General features: G+C 38.5%; 1 protein-coding gene across 4 annotated transcripts in view, besides 1 other annotated feature; it reads right to left on the bottom strand.

Moving 5' to 3' along the window:
* Positions 1–23,906, bottom strand: part of GABRB1 (gamma-aminobutyric acid type A receptor subunit beta1) — a 432,801-nt gene that overhangs the window by 15,429 nt on the left and 393,466 nt on the right. For 3 of the 4 annotated variants that reach the window (XM_024453977.2, XM_024453976.2, NM_000812.4), the window contains 3 exons: positions 7,564–7,701; positions 7,308–7,460; positions 4,093–4,337 (listed from right to left, as the gene is read on the bottom strand). In XM_024453977.2, coding sequence (XP_024309745.1) covers positions 4,093–4,337; positions 7,308–7,460; positions 7,564–7,701 — 536 coding nt within the window. Of the gene's footprint in view, positions 1–4,092; positions 4,338–7,307; positions 7,461–7,563; positions 7,702–11,368; positions 11,425–23,906 lie in introns of those variants that run through there. The other variant, XM_017007985.2, reaches the window with a different exon arrangement.
* Positions 19,469–19,528: a silencer, noted in NCBI's record as "silent region_15398". NCBI's record gives its function as "represses an Ori minimal core promoter by ATAC-STARR-seq in GM12878 lymphoblastoid cells {active_cell/tissue: GM12878}" and the evidence as "EXISTENCE:reporter gene assay evidence [ECO:0000049][PMID:35858748]".

Here is a 23,906-nt window from a genome sequence, read left to right as displayed (position 1 = left end):
TCTGCTATCTTCCCCAAAGAATGTTGAGTTTGGTTTGGTAGGCAGTTATATGACTAACATATCATCCAGAATATGTGGAGACTTGGTTTTATGTGTCATTAGGGTGAGCCTATTTTAGATTTTCCCTTAACCCAAGGGGAATCCCTTATTCTTGTGACTTATCTTTACCCTTAAGGTATAAGCCTCTTGAGATTTTTATGGAAAACCTAATGTGCTTACCACCCCCACACTCCCCAACAGGCTGGATTCAAACTCCAAACTCTGACTTTTATATAGTGGACAGTAACTAAAATCTCTGTTCATTTTTCTTTCCCCCAGCTTCTAGCTATTTTTTCTTTCTGTGCTCCTTGGTATTTGTACATTTGTACATTTGTAGCTCAGGGATCAAGCTGGGGAAGTTTACACTCAGGTGTCGAGTTTCTGTTGTGGCTCACTTCTAAAATTTCCAGGAACTCTGGAACAATCAAACTCCATGATCTGACTCTTCAGGTCAATACAACTTCAGTTTCTGCTGAAGTTTTGCTGCCCCACATCCCTCAGTCTGGGACATGGCTTCAGGGGAAAAGCTGCATAAACATGGATTTCACACAGTGTGGTTCCTTCCTTTTGAAAGTTGATTCTCTTTTAGTTTTTGCTTGTTTTGTTACTCTCCCATGTCTTAAAGCAGATTTCTAAAAATGTGCTCACAGTTTATTATTTCTATCAATAGGAGGATTACTCTGATACAAAGTACTCTGCCCTGTTTTAATATGATTTGTTTTTGAATTTTGTCAGAATTATGTCTATTTTTCTGTGGAAATCATTTGTGGAGTTCGTAGTCTAACTTTCCATGGATAAAAACATATTTTAAAAAAATCTCCTTTAAGCATTGTCTTCTGACAGTTGAGGAATTTCTTTATTCGTTCTCCTTTAATTCAAAATTTAAAAAGTCAATTTACCAGGAATAAAAGTTTACTGATTCGAGAGACAATGAATTCTTACCACATTTAAGCCCAATGTTACTCAAACAGCCTGTTTATGAAATAAAGGTCAGTCAAATGGGAACATTTTACTTATTTATTAGCCAGTCATGAAGTCCTCTGCAGGACTTATACATCTAGATCTGACATGACATAGGCTTTCCTCCTGCCTTTATTCAATCTTTATCATCTTAAAAAATTTCTCTGATATCCTAGTGTGGAATCAAAAGCTGAAAGTGTTTGCTTAAAGTTTGTTTTGTAGTCTTTTTATTTTATCTGAATAAATTGATTCCAGTTTGCCTGATGTTTCATTTTGATATGGACAGGAGACAGGAAAATACTGGAAAGAAGGGGGTAGTTCCCCGGCAAAGGCCCCACCCTCAAGCATGGAACCCCACAGCTCTAAATGGGAACAGGCATTTCTGTTTTAGTGTCAAATATTGCCTTTTGGCCCACCATGCCCCCCATACTGTACCCATATAAACCCCGAATCCTGGGCTCCATGAGCAGAAGAGCAGAGGAGCAGAGGAGCAGAAGAGTGGCATAATAGAGAAGGAGAGAAGAGAAGGAGTGTCTGAATGTCGAGAGAAGTTTGGCTGGAGATGGTCGGAGAGATGGCCGCGGGATGGCCAAACTCCTGGGGAAGATTATCTTCCCACTCCAGCCTCTTTCCAGCTCCCCATTCATCTCACTGAGAGCCACCTCCATCCAGCAATAAGATCCTCCACATTTACCATCCTTCAACTTGTCCATGTGACCTGATTCTTCCTGGACTCCAGACAAGAACCTGGGTACCAAAAAGGCACTGAGCTGGTTAACACTTAAGCTGTCTGCAGATGGCAGAGCTAAAGGAGCACTGTAACACACCTACTGGGGCTTCGGGAGTCGCAGGCACCCAACTCTAGATGCTACCATGGGGCCAGAGCCCAAAAGTGCTTGCCCCGGCTCCCACACCTGCCCGTCTGCATGCTCCCCCTCCCATAAGGTTTGAGTGCATGGCAGCCCAACAGATGAGCGTATCAGGGAACTCTCCTGTTTCAATTTAATTACTCTCCCTAGAGAACATTGTTTTTTAGCAACTGAAGGGCCCTGCTTTCTTCATTATTCTTTCCTAAATTGTACTTATCTTTGAGTATCCATCCAGTTCATGTCTTCTGCATTTTCCCACCACTGAACCTATTCCACCTTTTTTGGGTAGGGTTTTCCCTCGTGACTTATCAATTAACAAACATTCCAAGCTGTGCAGAGGATGAATTAGTATGTTTGAAGGCAACTGAGATGAGGATGGGAATAGAAAAGAGGTGGCCTCCCAAAGTACTTTTAAAGCTGGTATGGTTACAATCAGACATTGGGAAGTTGCTTCTTTTCAGGTATACACCTCAAACTAACTGTGTCCTGTCTCATTTTATAATCACCTCATATGAGTATAATATTCTTTCACAATAAGATCAGAAGATTCTTGAGGGCAAATATCTTGTCTACTTCTCTCCCCATAGCGCTGAACATAGTGCCTCACACAAAGGTAGAAGTTTATTTGATGTGTTCCTTTGAATTTTAACCACTTGGCTGAATCCCTAAGTTTTCTTTGCTAATTTTTCAAACAGTGTTTATCCAAACTTTCGTCCTACTAAAGAGCATGAAGATACACCCTGAAAATTTATAATTTGGCCTAAGTATCCAGCCACATTTCACACTACTCTGCTTTCTTCCTCACTAACTATGCTCTTGCTCTACCGGTCTTCTCTCAGTATTTAAACACACAGGAATTCCTGCCTCAGAGCCTATGCACTTGCTATTTCCTTTGCCTAGAATGGACATGGCATGGTTAGCTCTTTCTCATTACATAGGTATCAGATCAAATGGTCATTCCACAGAGAGGTCTTACCAAAGTGTCCTGCTCCCTTAAATCTGACCCAAATACTCTTTTGTTCAGTACTCTGTTTTCCTTTTTAAAATTATTATTATTTTAAGACAGGGTCTCACTCTGTCACCCAGACTGGGGTGCAGTGGCGCAATCTCTGCTCACTGCAACCTTTGCCTTCTGGGTTTAAGCCATCCTCCCATCTCAGCCTCCCAAGTAGCTGGGACTACAGGCAAACACCACAATGCCCGGCTAATTTTTATATTTTTTGTAGAGATGAGGTTTTGCCATGTTGCCCAGGCTGGTCTCAAACTCCTAGGCTCCAGTGAGCCTCAGCCTCCCAAAGTGCTGGGATTACGGACATGAGTCACTGTTTTACTTTCTTTTTAGCACTTACTAGTAACTAAAATTATCCTTTTGATATTTGTTTGTGTTTATTGCTTATCTTCTCATGTTAGAACCTAAGCTCCATGAGGGTGAGGAATTTTGTCTCATTCACATCAGTATCCCAAATGCCTAGAACAGTGCCTAAATGAACAGTTGTCACCCTCTGTGCTATCTTGAAAACAATTTGTGGTAGATACACATTTGAATGTACTTAATAATGGTAAATTGATTTCAGTGAAAAATGGCTCAGAGGTAGAGGCTACAGAGATGTTTTTAAAGAATAAACAGATCATTCATTTAAATTTAATTCCATCCAATGAGACCACAGGTTATAAGATGTACCAATGAGAAAAACAGAGTTCTTAAAACAACTCTGTGAGATAGACATACTATAATAATCTCCATTTTATGGATGAGGACACTGAGAGAAAAGGTTAGATAAAGACTGAAATAGGTTGATTTGGCTGAAGTTGTAAAGCCATTAGGTGACTAAACTGGGAATGAAAACCAGGCAGTTTGATTTCAGTCTATGGTTATAACCACTGTGCCTCATCTCCATTTAGGAATGCAATGTATATTCACTTTAGTTCTCTCATTTATTTACCATGCAAATCTAGCATTATTACTTTACATATGCTTTTACAAATAGTTTAGAATAAATAATAATGGACTTGGGGTTGAGTTCCAGGGTATATTACTAATCAGTATAACCCTCAATCTAACTTCTTCATTCCTCAGTCCCTGAATATGTAAAATGAAGGCTTGGTTGAGTCTTATTAAATATCAACTATTTTTTTATTAATCGTTTTTAAGTTATGAGAGCCCGAGGCATCATGATGCTGATAAATTTAACAAGAATATTGTTAGGAATATTTAATATCTTACCTGGACTTTATTCATCTCCAGTTTATTCTTCTCATTGGCACTCTGGTCTTGTTTGCTAGCTCCCTTTTTCTGAGGGCCTTTCCCAAAGAAGATGTAATTTACAAAGGCATACTCCAGCAGAGCCAGGAACACAAACACAAAGCAACCCATCAGATAAATATCAATCGCTTTGACATAAGGGATCTTTGGCAGGGTCTCCCTGAGGTGGGTGCTGATGGTTGTCATTGTAAGCACTGTCGTGATTCCTGTGAAAGAGAAAGACAACACTTAGCTGAAGGTGCCACTATTAAGTTCCTTTTTCAAGATTGAGAGGACAGATGCCATTTGCCACTTCCTTATTGGTGCCCCTGAGTGATCACAGTAGCATGATAAACCATTGGGCAAAAAGGGCAGATATTTTGAAAGACAAGGCATTAGCCTCCCTACATAGTCCATTAATGAATCATAAAATAGAATGTGTAGTTAATGAAGGGTTGAAACCATTTTTTTAATTGCACAAAATAAAAACAAAAGCAGATGGAAAAGCAGATCAAAATCCCATTGAAATCCTGCTATTGAATGTCGCTCACTTTGTTACATGACCACATCTTTCTTCCTTTTCTCAGCATCTCATTCACTGTGCTCCTAAATCTGTCTTTGTGATACTAATCCCTATAGCAGCCTCTACCAAACTGAAAGCTGGTGACTAGTTTGAGATCTACTTCATCCCATGAATCTACAGGACACCCAAGTTACAAGGTCAGTATTGCATTTTAAAATGATTGTGTGTCATTCTTAGCAAAACATCACCAAAAGAGGAAACATGAGAAATGTCATAATTTGTATCAAGTGCTTGATTTATGTATATTTTACATTTACTATAATCTTGTTGCTTTGATATTTCAAATATTCTCTATTTTCTTGGTTCCAGAACCTAGAATGAATTAGTTCCCTGATGTCAGAAAACAACTTCTTAAAAATTTGAACTTGGATTTGTTGAAGAAGTTTAAGTCTGTAAACTCATAAAAGACAGATTTTGTTTTATTTACTTTGTTATATATAGCATTCTTAATAGTATAATGTTTGTTTAGCTGTATAACAAATATTTTGTGTTGATGATGGTGGTGATGAAGTGATAATTGTGAAAAGCAAGAAGTGAAAAAGAAGTTGGAATCTAGTGTAGATATTTGTTCTGCAATACTAATATTATACATTTGTATAGTGTTGTACAGTTTTAAACACTTACAGTTATAAATTATCTTACATGGCTGTCATAACAGCCTGAAAATGATAGGGAGTGTATATTATTCTCATTTTATAACTGATAGGGACTGTATGTTATTCTCATTTTATAACTGGGTAAACAGAAAATCTGAGATTAATTATTTTGTTTTAGGCCACCCAGCTAGGGTCAAAAGAGCATAGAAATGTTACACAATAGCATTTAAAATAAGCAATGAGATGAAAAGGTAAAATCTAAAATTTGATAGAGGCTCTTAAAAATAAAGTCAGAAAGTATAAAATAGATAGTAAAGACAAAGGAGAACTTCCAAAGGGAATGGAAGGTAGCAAAATGAAATGAAGGGAAAAATAGTTTCGCATTCATTTTCCAATCAGATTATTCTAGATGTATATTCCCGGATTTGACTATTCAACTTTTAGAAGAACAGATAAAGTAGGAGGTCAGGGCTACCATACAAAAAATTAAAGTGGTTCAGATCAGTAATAAATTCTAATGTGCTGGACTGATACAAAATGTCATAATGAGTGGTCTTTCTTATTTCTTTGAAAAAACCTTTAAATTTCACCTGATACAATTCTAGCTAATGTGCTTCACAGAAATGAATGAGTCACTTATAAATTCACCAATTGCATTTCTGCTTCTACTCTTTGTTTTACATTTTTAAGCAAAAGTGTTAGTAAATGAATGCCATTTTAAATTACATATGTTTTAAAATATCTCAAGTTTTACCATCCAAAGAATAGCTTAAACAAGCACCTTTATATACTGACATCTCTAATATCTCCAATTAAAATAGTATTAGCTTTGAGGATAGAAGAGTAAGGAAAACCACAATTCATAAACTTACTAGTTATTATTCTCTGCTGTGGACATCATCCACTGTTTTTTTCTTAAGTGTAGCATATAGACCTAACAATACTCATGTTCAAGTAATATGTGCAGATGCATATGTGTGATAGATACTATTATTTGTTTGCTTTCTTTAATCTTAGGCTGTTCAAAGATTGATAAGGGGCTGCAAACACTTGACTTTGTGAGCTTTATGTATTCAGCCATTACAAATAAGCTGTAGTGATGACAATTAGTATAGCTGTGAACGGGTATGCTGATCATCTAGTCCAGCTTAACAGTCTCCGAAGTGAAGAGATGAAATATGTTAGTTTAGCCAGAAATGATGTGTGTGTGTGTGTGTGTGTGTGTGTGTGTGTGTGTGTGCATGCGTGTGTGAGAATTAGCCCCAGAAAGAGATAACTGAAATGGCTGTAGGATCAAATAATGACACAGACTTGCACATCCCCAGATTCACCAGACAGACCTTACACATTCTAACCTTCCAAGGAATCCTTTAAAGTCTCAAATATAGCCTGTCAGCTTTCAGCAATTAATTAACCATGACAGGATTAGTTCTAAATTTTGTTCCCCCAAGAAGGAAATCATTTTTATTCTGTCTTGACCACAGATTATTAATATAGCTGATGAATTGTCTGTGCCTTATTCAAGTGTAATAAACTCCATTTAAAGGAGACGTGGCTTGATACGATTTAATTTTAGTTAGTATTCAAAGGATAGTATTTCTCAGCAATTGACAGCTTGTTATTAGTCACAAGGTTTAGCTTTCTCCAAATTCATTTGAAAATAGTGCATTGTATATGTTCTTCACTGTTAAAAGCAGGCATTAAAGGGGAAGTCATCCCAAAGTTAGTAAAAACTAGTGTAATGAGAATTTAAAAATATATTCCATGAGACACTTAAGTAGTGCTAGATATATTCCAAGATTTTTGTTTGTTTGTTTTGGTAAAATGCTAAAAAGACAGTACATTGTAGAATATTCGTTGTGGACATTCTTACATTTAGATGTTTTATATTCAGGGACTTGTAAGATGATCTAATTCTTTGGCTTGCTATAAGAGAGCCCTTGCCTATAATTCCTGATATTGGTTATTTGTTTGAAAGTAAAATCTGTTAGCTCTCTGCAGTGCTGAGAATGTATTACCTAGTGCGACTCTGGCTGCAGATGCATCATAGTTGATCCAAAAAGACACCCAGGACAGAATTGTAATCAGTGTAGAAGGCATGTAGGTTTGCAAAATGAAGTAACCAATGTTTCTCTTTAGACGAAAACTTAGTGACAGTCGTGGATACGCTCCTGAGTTGAGAAACAAAAGACAAGTAATCAGACCATTATTTGGTTGGAACCATCTTCTTCCTTTCACAGCACCCCTAGTACATTTTGGGGGAAACAACCTCACCTGTTGTGAACTCCACCTTCTTAGACACCATCTTGTAGTCAACAATTGAAAATTGAGGAAGTTCGATTTTATTAACACCAGTGACTGCCCCTTCTCCTCCATTCCAGTAAAATTCAATGTCATCAGTGGTATAGCCATCTGAAACCAATAAAAACAGCACGGTTAAACAAAGTTTAGGAAATCATTTTGAATACCATCTGGGAGCTAGAGGAAAAATTCCCAGCACAAAAGTGGTAAGGTGGCATTGCTTTAAACTAGGGTGGTATGCAGGTCTCATGTGGAGTGCTATTTCTGATGGTTTGTTAGTAGCTTCATTGAAAGAATGGGTGCATCTGGCTTTACTGGACTTAAGCTCTGGATCGTTTAGTGATATCTGATGTCATTGCTGCAAATTTATTCTTATTGTATCTACTAATTTGCATTCCTTGATTAAATTGGGGGATGGCTGAATTCTAGGTACCTGGACATGGCTTTGGCTATGTGCTACTTAACAACAACAATAGCACAACAAGTAATAATAATTGAGCACATATTTGTTAAATGGATAACAGATAGTGTAAAGAGATGAAGTGTAATGAAAGACCAAGTTTATATATAGCCATTACATGATTAAGACATTAAAAACTACATATTTCTTTTAGAAAATTTGGCAAGCTTTTATTAATATCCTTTGATTATAGCTAATATTATTATAGCTAATATGTGGGTGAAAGTCTTAGGACTACATAAATTTTTGATAATGCTTTTATATCTTTATACTTATGAGAGTGAACTTTAGTTAATTTAAGGGGAATGTGTAGGGAACTGTAGATTGTAATAGAAGGGCTTGTCCTCAGGTCTTCAGCATGAAGGCCCTTTGCTGATGGCCTAATCTCTTCCTCTTCTCACTCTACTCCCACCTGGCAGTGGTCTAGCTGGGTTATCATTATGTATAAGAGTAACTTGCATAAGAAGAATGTACAGATACATTTTAAAAATCTAAAAATAATTTTAGGAATATTTTAAGACTATATTTTTCTCTACCAGCTAGAGACAAAGAAGCTCTTTCTAAATTCATTTTCTATTTAGGTTCACCTCAAATAAAAAAGCAAAAAATCTTTTTTTCCATTAGAATTGCAGGGGCTAGTGTTTCAAAGGTAACCACATAAGCTTTTTGTAGTGGACACCATGCTGATCTACTTTTGATTAAAGCCAGTAATACCTTTTCAAGAGATAAAAAATGATGTATTTGATATTTAGAAGTTGAATGCCAGGTGCCAAAGGGTCACCATCAACTTGTCCTTGCAGAATGTAAGAAATTTTAAGCTATTTTTCCCCACTCCCTTCCCCGCTTTTAAAAAGGAAAACAAAACTGTCTTAACTTTACTGCTTTAAACTGGCTTCCAGATATAATCACCAGTGTCTGAAAGACTAAGACCCTCTTTACTATTGGACTTAGAATAATCTACATGGGACTAATTGGCATATTGGGGACTTTACCAAGTTTGGGTATGATTCTGTAAGACTGATTCTAAATGTCTCCTTGAGAATTTGATAAAAACCTGCCAATAAAATCCATAGAAAAATATACACAGATAGATAGATAGATGATAGATAGATAGATAGATAGATAGATGATAGATAGATAGATAGCTAGATAGATAGATAGATAGATGGAATTTGATGGCAATTTCAGGAGATCATGGATCCCATTCATGGATTTTAGAATACAAAACTCCTTTCTTAGTTGAAATGGTTAGTGGCAATATGACAGCTTATATTCAACCCAGATTCCTTCCTTTCCAATTCCAATTCAACCATGAGTTACCTCTCCTAAGCCCAGCAGGAAGTAGTATCTGGGGAATGTGAGTTCTCAGCCCTGTCTGGATCCAGTGGACAATGGCATCATGGGATTTTCTTTCCCCCCTCAGCCACTAGAGAGAACCTAGGGACTGGTGGCATGGAGTCCTTGGGTGGGGATTAGAACAGTGAGATCAAAGAAGATAGCTGGGTGAAGGGGCTGTTGGGCCTACTAAAGAAGGAAGGGTATTACCACCTGTATGACTGTCTGGAGGAACTTCTGTCATCTCAGTCCTTTAAGGGGATGTGGGAAAGTTAAAAAAGTGGGCTGAGAAATCGCCATACTGTTTTCCATAGATATTGTGCCAATTTACATTCCTACCAACAGAGCATAAACGTTTCCATTTCACAACATCTATTGTTTTTTGACTTTTTAAAAATACAATTCGATTTAGCAATCCCACTACTGGGTATCTACTCAAAGGAAAAGAAGTCATTATATATAAAAGACTGCATTCGTACATTTATCACAACACAGTTTACAATTGCAAAGATATGGAGTCAACCTAAGTGCCCACCAACTGATGAAGGCAAAAGAAAAACGTGGCATATATATACACCATGGAGTACTACTCAACCATAATGGCCTGAACCCCGGAGGCGGAGCTTGCAGTGAGCGGAGATCGTGCCATTGCACTCCAGCCTGGGTGACACAGCGAGACTCCGTCTCAAAAAAAAAAAAAAAAAAAAAAAAAGAGAAGAACAAAAGAACAAAATAATGTATCTTGCAGCAACTTGGATGGAGTTGGAGGCCATTATCCTATATGAAGTAACTCAGGAACAGAAAATCAAATATTGCATGTTCTTATTTATAAGTGAGAGCTAAGCTATGGGTAGGCAAAGGCATACACAGTGGTATAAGGAATGTTGGAGACTCAGAAGTGGGGAGGCTGGGAGGAGGGTAAGGGATAAAAAAATCACATATTAGGTACAATGTACACTATTTGGGTAATGGATACATCAATAACCCAGACTTCACCACTATATAATTCATCCATGTAAGTAAAAACCCCTAAAGCTATTGAAAAAAAAGAGAGAGAAGAAAAGGCAGGTTGGGTCACTGAGAGAGAGAGAGAGAGAGAGAGAGAGACTACCTCCTGGTGCATCAACAGGCTGGAGCTCACTATGCTTTCCATCTACAACTTTGTTCCTTTTAAGGTGACCTGGCAGCTGGGCCCAAACCCCAAAGAATATGCAAGAAAAAATAACAATGCATATAAGGAACCCAGTAGCCCTAGAGAAGGAAAACAAGTGGAACAACTAGATTTAGGTATCATCTAGTGAAAAGAACTGAGGAGGAAGCAAATAATAGCTTGAACTCTTCATTCCTCACTCTTGGTAAAAATATAGGAACACTTACAGATATCTGATTACAGCACAGGCAACTTTTTATTCTAAAACTCAATGGTTTTTTTTTAAATATATGAAATGTCTTAGATAAATTGAAGAGAAGATGGCCACTGATGAGGCCACAATCTGTGGCTTGGAAGACAATTTTATAGATATTTGGAAAGCATGAAGAAACTATAAAAGCTTTGAAGGACTCATCTAGGAGATCTAATATATGAATAGTGGGCATTCCTGAAAGAAGGGAGTTATATAGACGAGGAGCCATAATAAACAAAAAGAAAATACAAATTCCCCAGAGCTTACTAAATAAATTATTTTGCAGATTGGCAAGCTGAATATACCAGGTCATGCCAGTATCATTCCTAAACTCCAAGGGTGTAATAATAGTCTTACAATCTTCCAGACAGAAAGTGCAAGGTGTTTTCAACGGAAAAAGTATTGAACTTCTTATACACAATGCTGGAAAGAAAAGATTATGGAATGACACCCACAGAACATCTAGAATATAGGCATAAAGGACAGCAACTATGAGACCCAAAAGTACTACTCCCTGCCAAAATACCACTTCTTTCCAGAGAAGATATATAAAGATTCAGAGGACATATCATCTAGGTACCTGCATGAGGAAACTCTTCTACAGAAGACTCTAATCAAACAGATCAATCAGGACAGATAAGGGACTCCACCTTAGAAAGAGAGGAACGGTAAAGAATCATGACTAATCAATTTCATACAAATTAATTTGAAAATGTGGATGAAATGGGTAATTTTCTCAGAAGAAAGCATTTTTTAAAGCTCAAATAAGGAGGCACAGAAAATCAAAACAGCTTGATTTCATCCCTACAAACAGACATTTAAGAACTGATAATTCTATTGCTACTTAAACAGTTCCAAAACATAGGCTAAGAATGAAAATTTCTAAATTATTTTCATAAAGTAAGCAGAACATATTAGCAAACAAAATCCAGCAGTATTTTAAATAATAAAGCATAATCAATATGGTTTATTCTAAGTTTAACATTAGAAAATCTAGTAATATACTTCATTATAATAACAAATCTAAGGAGAATAAAACCCATATGATTATTTATACAGACACTAAAATGGCATTTGATAACTTTCAACACTAGTTCTCTTTTAACAAAGCAAAAAACATTATTCAATAAATATGAGAAAGGGCCAGGTGCCGTGGCTCACGCCTGTAATCCCAGCACTTCGAGAGGCCAAGGTGGGCGGATCACGAGGTCAGGAGATTGAGACCATCCTGGCTAACATGGTGAAACCCCGTCTCCACTAAAAATACAGAAAATTAGCCGGACGTGGTGGCGGGCCCCTATAGTCCCAGCTACTCAGGAGGCTGAGGCGGGAGAATGGCGTGAACCCGGGAGGCGGAGCTTGCAGTGAGCCGAGATAGCGCCACTGCACTCCAGCTGCGGTGACAGAGCGAGACTCCGTCTCAAAAACAAAACAAAACAAAACAAACAAACAAAAAACAAAAAAACCTCACACAAAAATTTAGCCGGGCGTGGTGGCGGGCGCTTGCAGTCCCAGCTACTCGCGAGGCTGAGGCAGGAGAATGGCGTGAACCTGGGAGGCGGAGATTGCGGTGAGCAGAGATGGCGCCACTGCACTCCATCCTGGGCGACAGTGCGAGACACCGTCTCTCTCTGTCTCTGTCTCTCTCTCTGTCTCTCTCTCTCTCTCTCTCTATATATATGAGAAGATATTTCCTTAACATGGGAAGATATATCTTTCCTGGTCCCAAACCAGCATCATGTTTAGTGTGGAAACAGAAAACATTCCCATGAAAGTTAAGGAGAAGATGAGAGTGTCTACTACCATTGTTCATATTTAACATTGTTCTGGAAATACTAACCAAGACATTGGACAACAGAAAGAAAGTTGAGGTACAGAGTTGGAAAGCTGCTGGTTAAACTATCAGGATTTGCAAAGTATGCAATTGTATATTCAGTAAACTCCAAAGAATTAACTGAAGAGCTATTACAAACAATAAGAATTTGGTAGGGTAATGGGGTATAAAATTACTATACAGAAATTGATAACTTTAATATATAAAACAATAACTTATAACATATAATAGATGAAAAGGACCAGTTAAAAATAGAGACAAAATTATCCAGTAATAAATTTGGCCAGAAATATGCAAAACACATATGAAGCAACATTTAAAATAAATTTGAAGGGCACAAAAGAAGCCTTGAACAAATAAAAGGCATAGCATATTTTTGAAAGGAAAACTCAACATCGTAAGTTTCACAATTTAATATGATTGCCTCATAATGCCAACAGGATTTTTGTTCTGGGAACTAGACTAGATGAATTGAAAGTTAAAATAAAGAAACCCAAGAAAACTCTGAAAAAATAGTAGAAATAGGCTGGGTGTGGTGGCTCACACCTGTAATCCTAGCACTTTGGGAGGCCGAGATGGGTAGATCACTTGGGATCAGGAGTTCGAAACCAGCCTGGCCAACATGGTGAAACCCTGTCTCTACTAAAAATACAAAAAAAAAAATTAGCTGAGCATGGTGGCAGGCACCTGTAATCTCAGTTACTCAGGAGGCTGAAGGAGGAGAATTGCTTGAACCTGGGAGGTGGAGGTTGCAGTGAGTCGAGATTTCACCACTGCACTCCAGCCTGGGCAACAGAGCAAGACTCCATCTCAAAAAAGAAAAAAAAAAGTAGAAATAAGAAGCAACTAGCCCTACCAGGTAGTAAAACATTATACAATCTCAATACTTACAACAGTGTGATCCCAGTGCTGGAACTGAAAGAAAGATCAATGGGTAACAATAAAAAATTCAGAACTAGTGCCAAATACATAGGAAAATTTAGAATATGATAAAAGTGGTGCCTCAAATTATTGGGGAAAAGATAGCTTAAGAAATCATGCTGGCTGAGAAATTACTTGAAACAGCAGTTTGGACCCCTATTTCATGTCATAAACTATTGTAAATCTCAAATAAATTGTAGATCTATCTAGAAAATATGACCATGCTTATACTGCAAGAAAACATGGGAGAATTATTTTATACTACTGGCATGGATGAGGCCTTTCTAACTCTAACAAATAATTCATAAGTCATAAAAAATTAACACATTCAGCTACATTAAAAAAGTGTGGCAACAAAAATCTATAAACAGAATCAAAAGTAAATAAGAGACAAAAAATAATTGCAGTTCATATTTAAGACAAGGGTTAATGTTCTTAATATATAAAAAACTTCTACAAACAACAAAAAAGACAAAGACAAAAACCTTAATGAGAATATAGTAAAAGGATATGAACAGAGAGTTCATTGAAAAATAAAAATGCCTAAACTCAATTATAATCAGAGAAACTCAAATTAAAATTAAAACTGTATCAAGATACTCCTTTTTGCCTTATAACTTGGAAAAAATCCACAAAGTGATAACATATTTTGCTGAGCACGTGGGGATGCAGCTACTCTCATGTTGCTGATGAGGATATAATTTGTTATAACCCAAATGGAATGCAGTTTGCTTCAGCTATCGAAAGTATTAATGTATATACCCTTTCACCAAGCAACTCCTATTTTAAGAAATCATTGCTTAGGAATTACTGGAAAAAGTAGTTTGGACCACTCTTTCATGCCATGAACTATTGTAAATCTTAAATAAACTGTAGATCTGTCTAGAGAATATAACTATAAAAATTTCTAGAAATTAATCATTAAAGAAATTTCTAGAAATTTCCTTCTAGAAATTTGTGTGAATTGCACAATTGTGAAGAATGTGCATACAGGATTATTCATTAAAATACTGTTGTAATAGCAAAATATTTGAAACAAATAAATGTCCCCTGATATGGTTTGGCTCTGTGTTCCCACCCAAATCTCATCTTGATTTGTACTCCCATAATTGCTTCATGTTGTGGGAGGGACCTGGTGGGAGATAATTGAATAATGGGGGTAGTTTCCCCCATACTGTTCTCCTGATAGTGAGTAAGTCTCACGAGATCTGATGGTTTGATAAGGGGAAACTCATTTCCCTTGGCTCTCATTCTCTCTCTCTTCACCTGCTGCCATCCATGTAAGATATGACTTGCTCCTCCTTGCCTTCTGCCATGGTTGTGAGGCTTTCCTGGCCAGGTGGAACTGTAAGTCCAGTTAAACATCTTTCTTTTGTAAATTGCCCAGTCTCGGGTGTGTATCAGCAGCGTGAAAACAGACTAATACATCCTCCGACAGAAGAGTGGTTAACTAAATTATAAATTATAGCACATTAATGCACTATTATAAAGCCATAAAGAAGAACAAGGAATTTCTTATATATAATATTAAAAATCTCAAAAATCCACTTTCAATTAAAAAAATCAAAGTTCAGAACAATAATGTTGCAACATGCTAATATATGAGGGAAAAATCTGGGAAAAACAGAAACATATTTGCATATACTTGTAGGTGTATGAAAAAACTCTGGAGGGACAGATAACAAGGTAATAACAATTTCTTTTGGGGGGACTAGGAAGATGGATGATAAGGATGAAAGGGAAATTTTCACTCTAAACTTTTAATGTATTTTGAGTTTTGAATCATGTGAGTAAATTAACAGTCAAAAAATTAAATTACAAAGAAGGAAATCTTGGCATCCTATGTATTTTCTACATGTGGGCAATGAGATTTCAAATACACACCTCCAGAAGATCTAGAATGGGGTTTATTAAGAAAGAATTTTATGAGCAGGGAGTGATATGGTTTGGCTCTGTGTCTCCACCCAAATCTCATCTCGAATTGTAATCACCACGTGTGGGAGGAGGGGCCTGGTGAGAGGTGATTGGATTATGGGTGTGGATTTTCCCCTTGCTGTTCTCGTGTTAGCGAATGAGTTCGAATGTGATCTGATGGTTTAAAAATGTGTGTGTGGCACTTCCCCCTTTGCTCTCTCTCGCTTTCTTCTGCTGCACCATGGTAAGACATGCTTGCTACCCCTTCACCTTCTGCCATGATTGTAAGTTTCCTGAGGCCTCCAAGCCTTTGTATAGCCTGTGGAACTGTGAGTCAATTAAACCTCTTTTCTTCATAAATTACCTACTCTCAGGTAGTTCTTTATAGCAGTGTGAGAACAAACTAATACAGGGAGGTAGTGGATCACCAGTTGTTTCCCAAATTCTCATTATCCCATGGTTTAGGCTCATCAGGTAGCCTGGGTGCACTGAACCTTGCCTTGCAATGCTGTACATTTCACATTTTTATAGGATTGCAGGGGGTAGCCTTAGGAACTCAGCAGCTGAGACCAGCTTCTATGTCTGTCTACTTAACTCAGATCTGCTGAGTCTGCTCACTTCCAGGGAGGAGGAAATGAACTGCCAGCACCACCCGGACCTGCCTCTTCTCAGAGACAAAAAAATTGCTTTTCTATCAAGTAACACAAAAATCAGATAAGTTAAAGAATTCACCATGCCCATGAGATAAAAACAAACCAATTGGCTTGGAAGAAGGGGAAGTGCTGATGCCAAGCCTGAGAGAAATTTCTCCCATGGACTTTTTTTTTTTAATGTGATGAAAAATGCCTCAGCAAAATCCATTCAGGAAGATGGTGTGAAAGGCGAACTTTTTCATAAAGATAGATGGAATCAAAATAAGTACAATTTAGTTTTTAAAAATCCTTTAAGGAGACAAGGCAATACAGTCCAAATTTAAAGCTGTCTTCTTGTCTGACTTATCTAGGCATGGATTTTAGTAGCATATCTAAATATCCTTTGCTAACCTTTATATGGGGCTGGGGTGGCCTTTCATTCAGTCAGGTTCTCGTGCCTCACACTTCACAAATGAATGACTATCCTCTTCTGAGCTAGACTGCACATGGTTTTGCTTTTAGTTAGAAACATAGAATAATTACAATGGGTATTTGTTAAGGAGGGAGTTGTAAACCAGTATCTAGAGACTCTGTGGAGAGAAATACTATTTATAGATCAAAGCCTGAATAGGAACCTTTGCTCTTGTCCCAATTGAAGTCTGGATTTGCCTATAGCTTTTGACTTCATTATGCCTGTCATTAGTTTGTGATCCTGGGTGGCCCATTTTCAAGTAGGCAGTAAAAACAGGGCTGACAGAACACAGCTTCCATGTTAGCTTTAGAGTCACCCATCAGTGATGCTGGCGTGCTTACTTTCCCCTCCTGAGCACTCTAACATGAGGTCTTTGCTGACTCTTCTCTGCCACAGACAACTTCTCTGGATTCAGTCTCTTATCTTTCTAGATATCCATCAGGATCCCTGATGAAGCACAGAACAATACCTAGTTCTTAGGGATGGCATCAAACATACCTAATTCTCTAAACTGGCAAGCAAATCAATGGAAAATATACTTGACGTTGCAATACACCTACTTGTAGTGCCTGCTATGCATCAAACACTATCCTAGGCATGAAGGATATGCAGTGGGTTAGGTGTGGCCTTACTTTTCAGGATCTCATGGTCTAATAGCAGTCTAAGCAAACTATTGACCCAAGGGAGTTAAACTTCTTAGAGGATTTGGCCAGATGGGTAGAGCAGGCCTGCCTGGCAGAAGAAGTAACATATAGGATGAATACTGTATACAGGGAATAATATAAAGGTTGGATGATGTCAATGGAATATTGTGATTTACTTCATGAAATTTACTCAATAAGCAACTCAATTTTAGCAAGAAAACTGAACTTTGGCAAAGTTGAATCCATATGAACACCACAAAATCCTCAACAATTTCAGTATGCAAAGAAAAAACTGGGCCAAGAAGAGTAAGGTAATTAGGTAGCCAGGATTGAGTGTAGGGAGAGCTGTAGGTAGACTCCTATGGCCACTGGTCACAGTCCTTTCTGCTCCTAATTGACTTTTATAAACTCCACTATACACACGCCTCGAAAAAAGCACAGAACCATGTTGAATTTTACCTGGCTTATCTGTCTTTCCCCCACTAGGCTCTGAGCTTCTTGAGGTCAAGGACTGATTCTCATCATTTTTGCTTGCAGTCAAAACACTGAAGTAGTAGATTCCAGGCTGAGCCACTAGCAATGACTCCCAGAACCACAGTGCAGATTGGCCTTTCAAAGGGACCGATTGCCACAATCAGAAAGCTGTTAATCAAGTAGCTACAGCAACCACATTGATTCCAGGATCACAGAAAGCTAAAACCAGAATTCTTGGTTCCAGAGCCATCCATGAGTTATGATCTGCACCAGCAAAACGGATGCTTCAAACACTACCTCTGACATGACTTGACTCCATCTAATCCAGAAAACTAAATTATAGCCACAACCTCAGTTTCAAGAGAATCTGGGAGATGTAGTTAGCTTTCTCAAAGGAGGTTAGCATACATACTAAACTAGCTAGATGGACTTCTGCTGTCTGCAACAGACACTGGATTGACATACCTTCTTTCTCTTCTAGGGAAGAACTATTTGCTCCAGCATTGTGATTACCAGAGCTTTTCATTAAAACCTCTGTTGTAACCCATGCCAGTCATTCACTTGATATTTCTATGCTGCATACTCCACTTTCTGTGCTCTACTCTGTACTGCTGGGGCTGGGCTTCCTGCCTCTCTGGCTTCATGTTAGATACTTCCCCTAGGAAGAGCTAGCTGAAGATTAGAAGGTGGAAGGGAGAGGCTGGGCACGGTGGCTCACGCCTGTAATCCCAACACTTTGGGAGGCCAAGGCGGGCAGATCTATGAGGTCAACAGATGAAGACCATCCTGGCCAACATGGTGAAACCCTGTCTCTACTAAAAATACAAAAATTAGCTGGGCGTGGTGGTGCACACCTGTAGTCCCAGCTACTCAGGAGGCTGAGGCAGGAGAATTGCTTAAACCTGGGAGGCAGAGGTTGCAGTGAGCCGAGATTGTGTCATTGCACTTCATTCAGCCTGGTGACTGAGCGAGACTCCATCTCAAAAAAAAAAAAAAAAAAAGGTGGAAGGGAGAAAGAAGCTTCCTGTTCCTGGCTCTTGCAGCATGGTAGTGCCTCAGTTTCTGGCGACTGCTGCCAGGGCAATTGAAGAAGTCACCTCTCTTTTGGCAATTCCATAAACAACTAGGACAGTGCCTCTCACAGGATCACATCAGATTCAAACTTGTGCTCTACTGCAAGCATGTTAGCAGCCTCTGACATCTGCCCGTTTAGCACTCTTCTCCTTCTCCTTTCTGCGTTTTTTTTTTTTAGCCCTTCCAATCTTTGTAACAAAGTCTCTATTAAATATTAAATTCCCTTTTTGAAAAATCTTGAGTGGTTTCTGCCTCCCAGATAGGATCCTGTCAGTTACGTAGTACTGAACATACCATGCAGAATATTTCAACTGTTTCTATAGCTTTGTGTTTATCTCTACCCTTTGTCTTCTCTATTCCTCATTATATTATAAGCTCTTTGAAGAAAAGGGCCTTCTTTCATTCATTTAAAAAATTCCCGATGCCTAGAACAGATTCTGTCTATAGTAAAGTTTCAATACATATTTTTGAATAAATAAGTTAATATTGTTTGCTGCTTAGAGTTTTGAGTTTATGGTCCCAAACTGGTAATCTGATAGAGGGACCTATTTGGTATATTCTTGAGCCTAATTTACTCCCTGATGAAGGACACCTTCACAGAGGCCTTACAGGTAAGTCTGGGCACCAAGGAAATGCAAAAATCTGTGTATTAATTTTAGGCTTACTGAGTTAACTAAGTGACAGAAGTGATGGACTACAACCTCAAGCTGGTCTTTGAATTATAAGATCCTAGGTGAGAAACATATAAGCACCAGTTAGCTGAGAGTCAGTGATGGTTTGCCGCTTGCAGTTGAGGTGGGGAGAAGGGTGAGTCAAAACAGCACCTCACATTATCTCCCGCTTCTGAAGAGCAGCAGAGCATGTCAATACTACACAAAATAAAAAAGCTGGACTATGACTACTGATCAATAGAGATTTTAATAATATTCAACAATTTATCCAGTCAGTGGTCTGGGTCTTTATTTCCAAGCTCACACGCACTTTGTTTAACTAAAACCCATTAGGCTTAGTGTTCAAGGCAGAGGTAATTACAGATGATTTGGGGAAAAAAAGAAGGCTTACTCCTTTTCTTTCTTTTGTTTTTTTCTTTGAGACGGAGTCTTGCTCTTTTGCCCAGGCTGGAGTGCAGTGGGGTGATCCTGGCTCACTGCAATCTCCACCTCCCATGTTCAAGCAATTCTCCTGCCTCAGCCTCCTGAGTAGCTGGGATTACAGGCACGTGCCACCACACCCTGCTAATTTTTGTATTCTTAGTGGAGACAGGGTTTCACCATGTTGGCCAGGCTGGTCTCTAACTCTTGACCTCATGACCCGTCCCCCTCGGCCTCCCAAAGTGCTGTCATTAGAGGCATGACCCACCGTGCCCGGCCAGCTTACTCCTCTCCAAGTAGAAGCTTGAGTTTTCATGGGAGCAATAATGGCAGTTAGATCCAAAGGAAAGAATACTGGCTTTGAAATACACTATTATTTCAAAGGTTACACAAGAACATTTTGCCACAGAGTGAGAACATCAATTTACTCACACCTAAACAACCTATTTTACCAAAGGTTTTCTTTTATGAACCAGTGACTTCACACAGTATCTCAGAGCTGAACACTTGGATACCAAGGATGTTGTTTCCTAGCAACAATAACTATACAGGAACTCTTGAAATTTCCTTTCAGCCCCTGGGGATTTCTTAGTGGTGAAGAAAGTACAGATAAAATTAAGTTGATGTCAATGGATAAAGATGCATGGAGTTAGTACAATTGTAGAAGTATCTGGGATGTTAGTATTCTTTTGGTACTTGAAACACTCTATTTTGGATGCATTTTCTAATTTGAAAATAAAAATTACTCCCCACTGTGCTTAATAGAGCTAGGGGGATGGTCTAGTCTTGTACGTAAATGTGTTTCAGATAATGCAGACATTTAAGCTTCTAATCCATGGGTGGGCAGAAATAAGTTTATGTCCTGTTGTGGAGCAGTTGTAACCCAATCTCAAATTTCATGGTGTGGATCTTGATTGGCTTAGGCCAATCATTAAAATATGGTGAATGGCTCAGGGTTAGGCAACAATCCAGGTCTAAAACAATTATCTCATAGCAGTCCCCTGGCCAAATTAGTTGCTTGGCAATAGGCATGTGATCCAAGTTGATCCAGTCCCAAAGAAACCTAGAACTTTTCTTCAATAGTCGGAGGAAAGGTAAATTTCTTTTTCTCTTTTAGCTGTTTGCAAACATGAATGTTGAGTGGAGAGTACCTGGTCCTTACAGGAGCCAGTATGTTTCCTTCCTGTTTACATCAGTTGCACCTAATTAAAGTATCCTAAATGACACTCAAAATCAGCATTTCAACTATTGTTAGAAAATAACCTACTGAAATAAGCATAGTGGTCTACCACTCCCTAATTCCTCTTACTCTTCCCACATGAGAGGAGACATATTAGGAATTTATCAAGAGCTCTGCTGTTGTAGCAATGTAGATTGCTTTACACTACAGAGTTATTGGATATTTGGAATTGTGCATCTTAGCTTCAGATAAGAGAGTCAACTGGGTTTAATTTTTCCAGTGGCTCCAGATGTGCATAACAATTATTCAAAAGGCTACTTTGGGTTCCTTTCTCATGGAACTTTGTATCTCCATGACACCCCAAGAAGCAGCAAATAAACTATGGAAGCCAGATTTTTAAAACATTCTCACAGTTAAAGGCAAAATGCAACAACCCATTTAATGTTTGATTCCTGATAACCCACTGTTTGAATGGTCATCCACTGCTTACAGATAGCCATATTACTACTTTCTGAGTCTGCTCGGTAGTTAATTAGGTTTTTAGATAATTGTGAGAGAACATTTTCAACGGTCCATTTTCAAGGCATGATAAATCTAAGCACTGGCAGCCCGCTTGCAAATGAAACAAACCTTACAGCTCATGCACCTAGAAGGTCACAATAAGAGAACAGAATGCAGAGGAAGGGTCAGCCCATAAAAGGGAAGACAGTTTTGTTATTGAGAAATCAAATCTTAAGCAGGGAAGGGGATGGGGATAACCTTATAAGGGGATAATGAAACTTAGGTGATGTCCAGGAAAATTGTAACCCCACAGTACTCAACCAATGAGGAACTGGGGGAGGAACTTTGTGTAAGAGATAAATTACTTGATGTGACTTCCCCAAGTGTGCCTGCCCACCAAACACCCAATCTTGCAAAGCCATTATTAAAAAGTCTCACTTTCACTGTTCTTCATACCTCTAAGTCCATTCTTTGGGTTTGGATGGGTGAGTGTGTTTCTGATAATAATCATTAGAAAACATGTTCTATCATAAGTAAAAATTCATCTTCTTGGAGAGTATCCACCATGACATCCTTGCCCACCTCTGTGTTAACAGAAAACAAACCCAATCCTTTTTTTCTTTTTTTAACATAATAACACCTCCCATCTTTGAGAACACTTTTCATGCTCCCTTTCTTTTATTCTCCAGGCTCTGGTCCTTCCCAGGGTATGCTCAGTCTTAGGAACTTTTTTCTGCTCACAGTTTCCAGTTTGCTTACATGTCCCATGAAGTATGCAGCCCTAAACTTAGGGGTAGTCATGTCTACCTTGTTTCTTTTACCACTTTTTGGGTTATCTGTCTTCTTTCTCTATTGCACAGACCTGTCCCCAAGGTTAATTCTGCCCTTGTTATGGAGCCACTCTTGATTGACATAAGAATTAAGCAGCAGCAGATTTGGACGTATCCCCAGATTTGCGATCATAGAATCCAACCATGTTTTCTGATTTCTTTAGCATCCTCTGGAAAGCCCCATTACTTCCAACCAGATCTAGGACCTAACACACCTAAAGCAAGGTCAGGATACTCAGGCTTCTCCCTACTCCATTTCGACCCTGGCATTTTCTATGTTTGGACAATATGTAAATTCCCAGAGTGACTTTTCTAGAGCCCGGTTTCTTCATATCTGACTGTTTACACTGCCTAGTCTATTAATCCTTGTCTACACTAGACCATACCCATTTAAAGGCATTTAGACTCCAGGCATTATATCAAATACATTAAAATGTATTCACATTCCATGTTAAACATAATTTACATATCACTATAAAACATTTAATTGCAGCTTATTTGTTAACATGTTATACTAATTTTAATATTGTAATATTCTTTATGTATTTTGGAGCCAATAATCCGTTTAAGACCCTTGATTAATTTGTAGATGTAGACACTTTGCCTATAATGCGTGTTGGCTATATGGCTGAACCTTTGACACCAATGGGACTCTAGTGCAACGGCCAAGATCTCCTTCCGAGCTTTATTTATTTGGAATATGTCCAACTCCTCTTAAATTTCCCACTGATAGAAATTCTGCTGCCACCATTAGATCTCCTGACCCTGATTGTGGCCCTTCCTGACTTTTAAATTGGCTGTCTACCTGTAATTTCTCAAGATGAAATTGCCTGCCAGGTTGAACTGCATGTGATAGGCATCCATCTGGGCTATTCAGCTGGGGTTAAGCCTCTATACAACCCTGTTCTGACCTCCTCTACCATTTTTCTGGTCCCATGTGGATGAGATCCCCCCATGCCTGCCCAAGTCATGACATTCTTGGAGTGACTGGCTAGCAAAGTCTAGTCACTGGTCTTCCATTAAAGCAGCACAAGTTCAAATTCGCTTTTTCCACAATCAAATGGTTTTTACTTTCTTTTGGACTCACACATAAGAACTAATATTGTTCCCATTTAATTGTATCGAGCCAGTTTGATAATTTTATCTAATTCAATTTGACTTACTATTTTAGCCTATTGAGTTTTTGCTTTTTGAGATGGAGTCTCACTCTGTGGCCCAGGCTGGAGTGCAGTGGCACAATCTTGGCTTATTGCAACCTCTACCTCCCAGGTTCAAGTGATTCTCCTGCCTCAGCCTCCAGAGTAGCTGGGATTACAAGTGCATAACACCATAAAAAAAATTAGGCCATCTAATTTTTATATTTTTAGCAGAGATGGGGTTTCTTCATGTTGACCAGGCTGGTCTTGAATTCTGACCTCAGGTGATCCACCCGTCTTGGCCTCCCAAAGTGGGATTACAGTCATGAGTCACTGTGCCTGGGCTATTTTTGTTTCTGGATGCTGATTTGCTCAACCTCTTAGTTTCATGTTATCTGCAAATTTGAAAAACATG

The sequence above is a fragment of the Homo sapiens genome, chromosome 4, assembly GCF_000001405.40.
Source record: "Homo sapiens chromosome 4, GRCh38.p14 Primary Assembly".
NCBI classification, from domain to species: domain Eukaryota; kingdom Metazoa; phylum Chordata; class Mammalia; order Primates; family Hominidae; genus Homo; species Homo sapiens.
The sequence above is the reverse complement of the archived record's forward strand: the minus strand, read 5'-3'. Positions and strand labels throughout refer to the sequence as shown.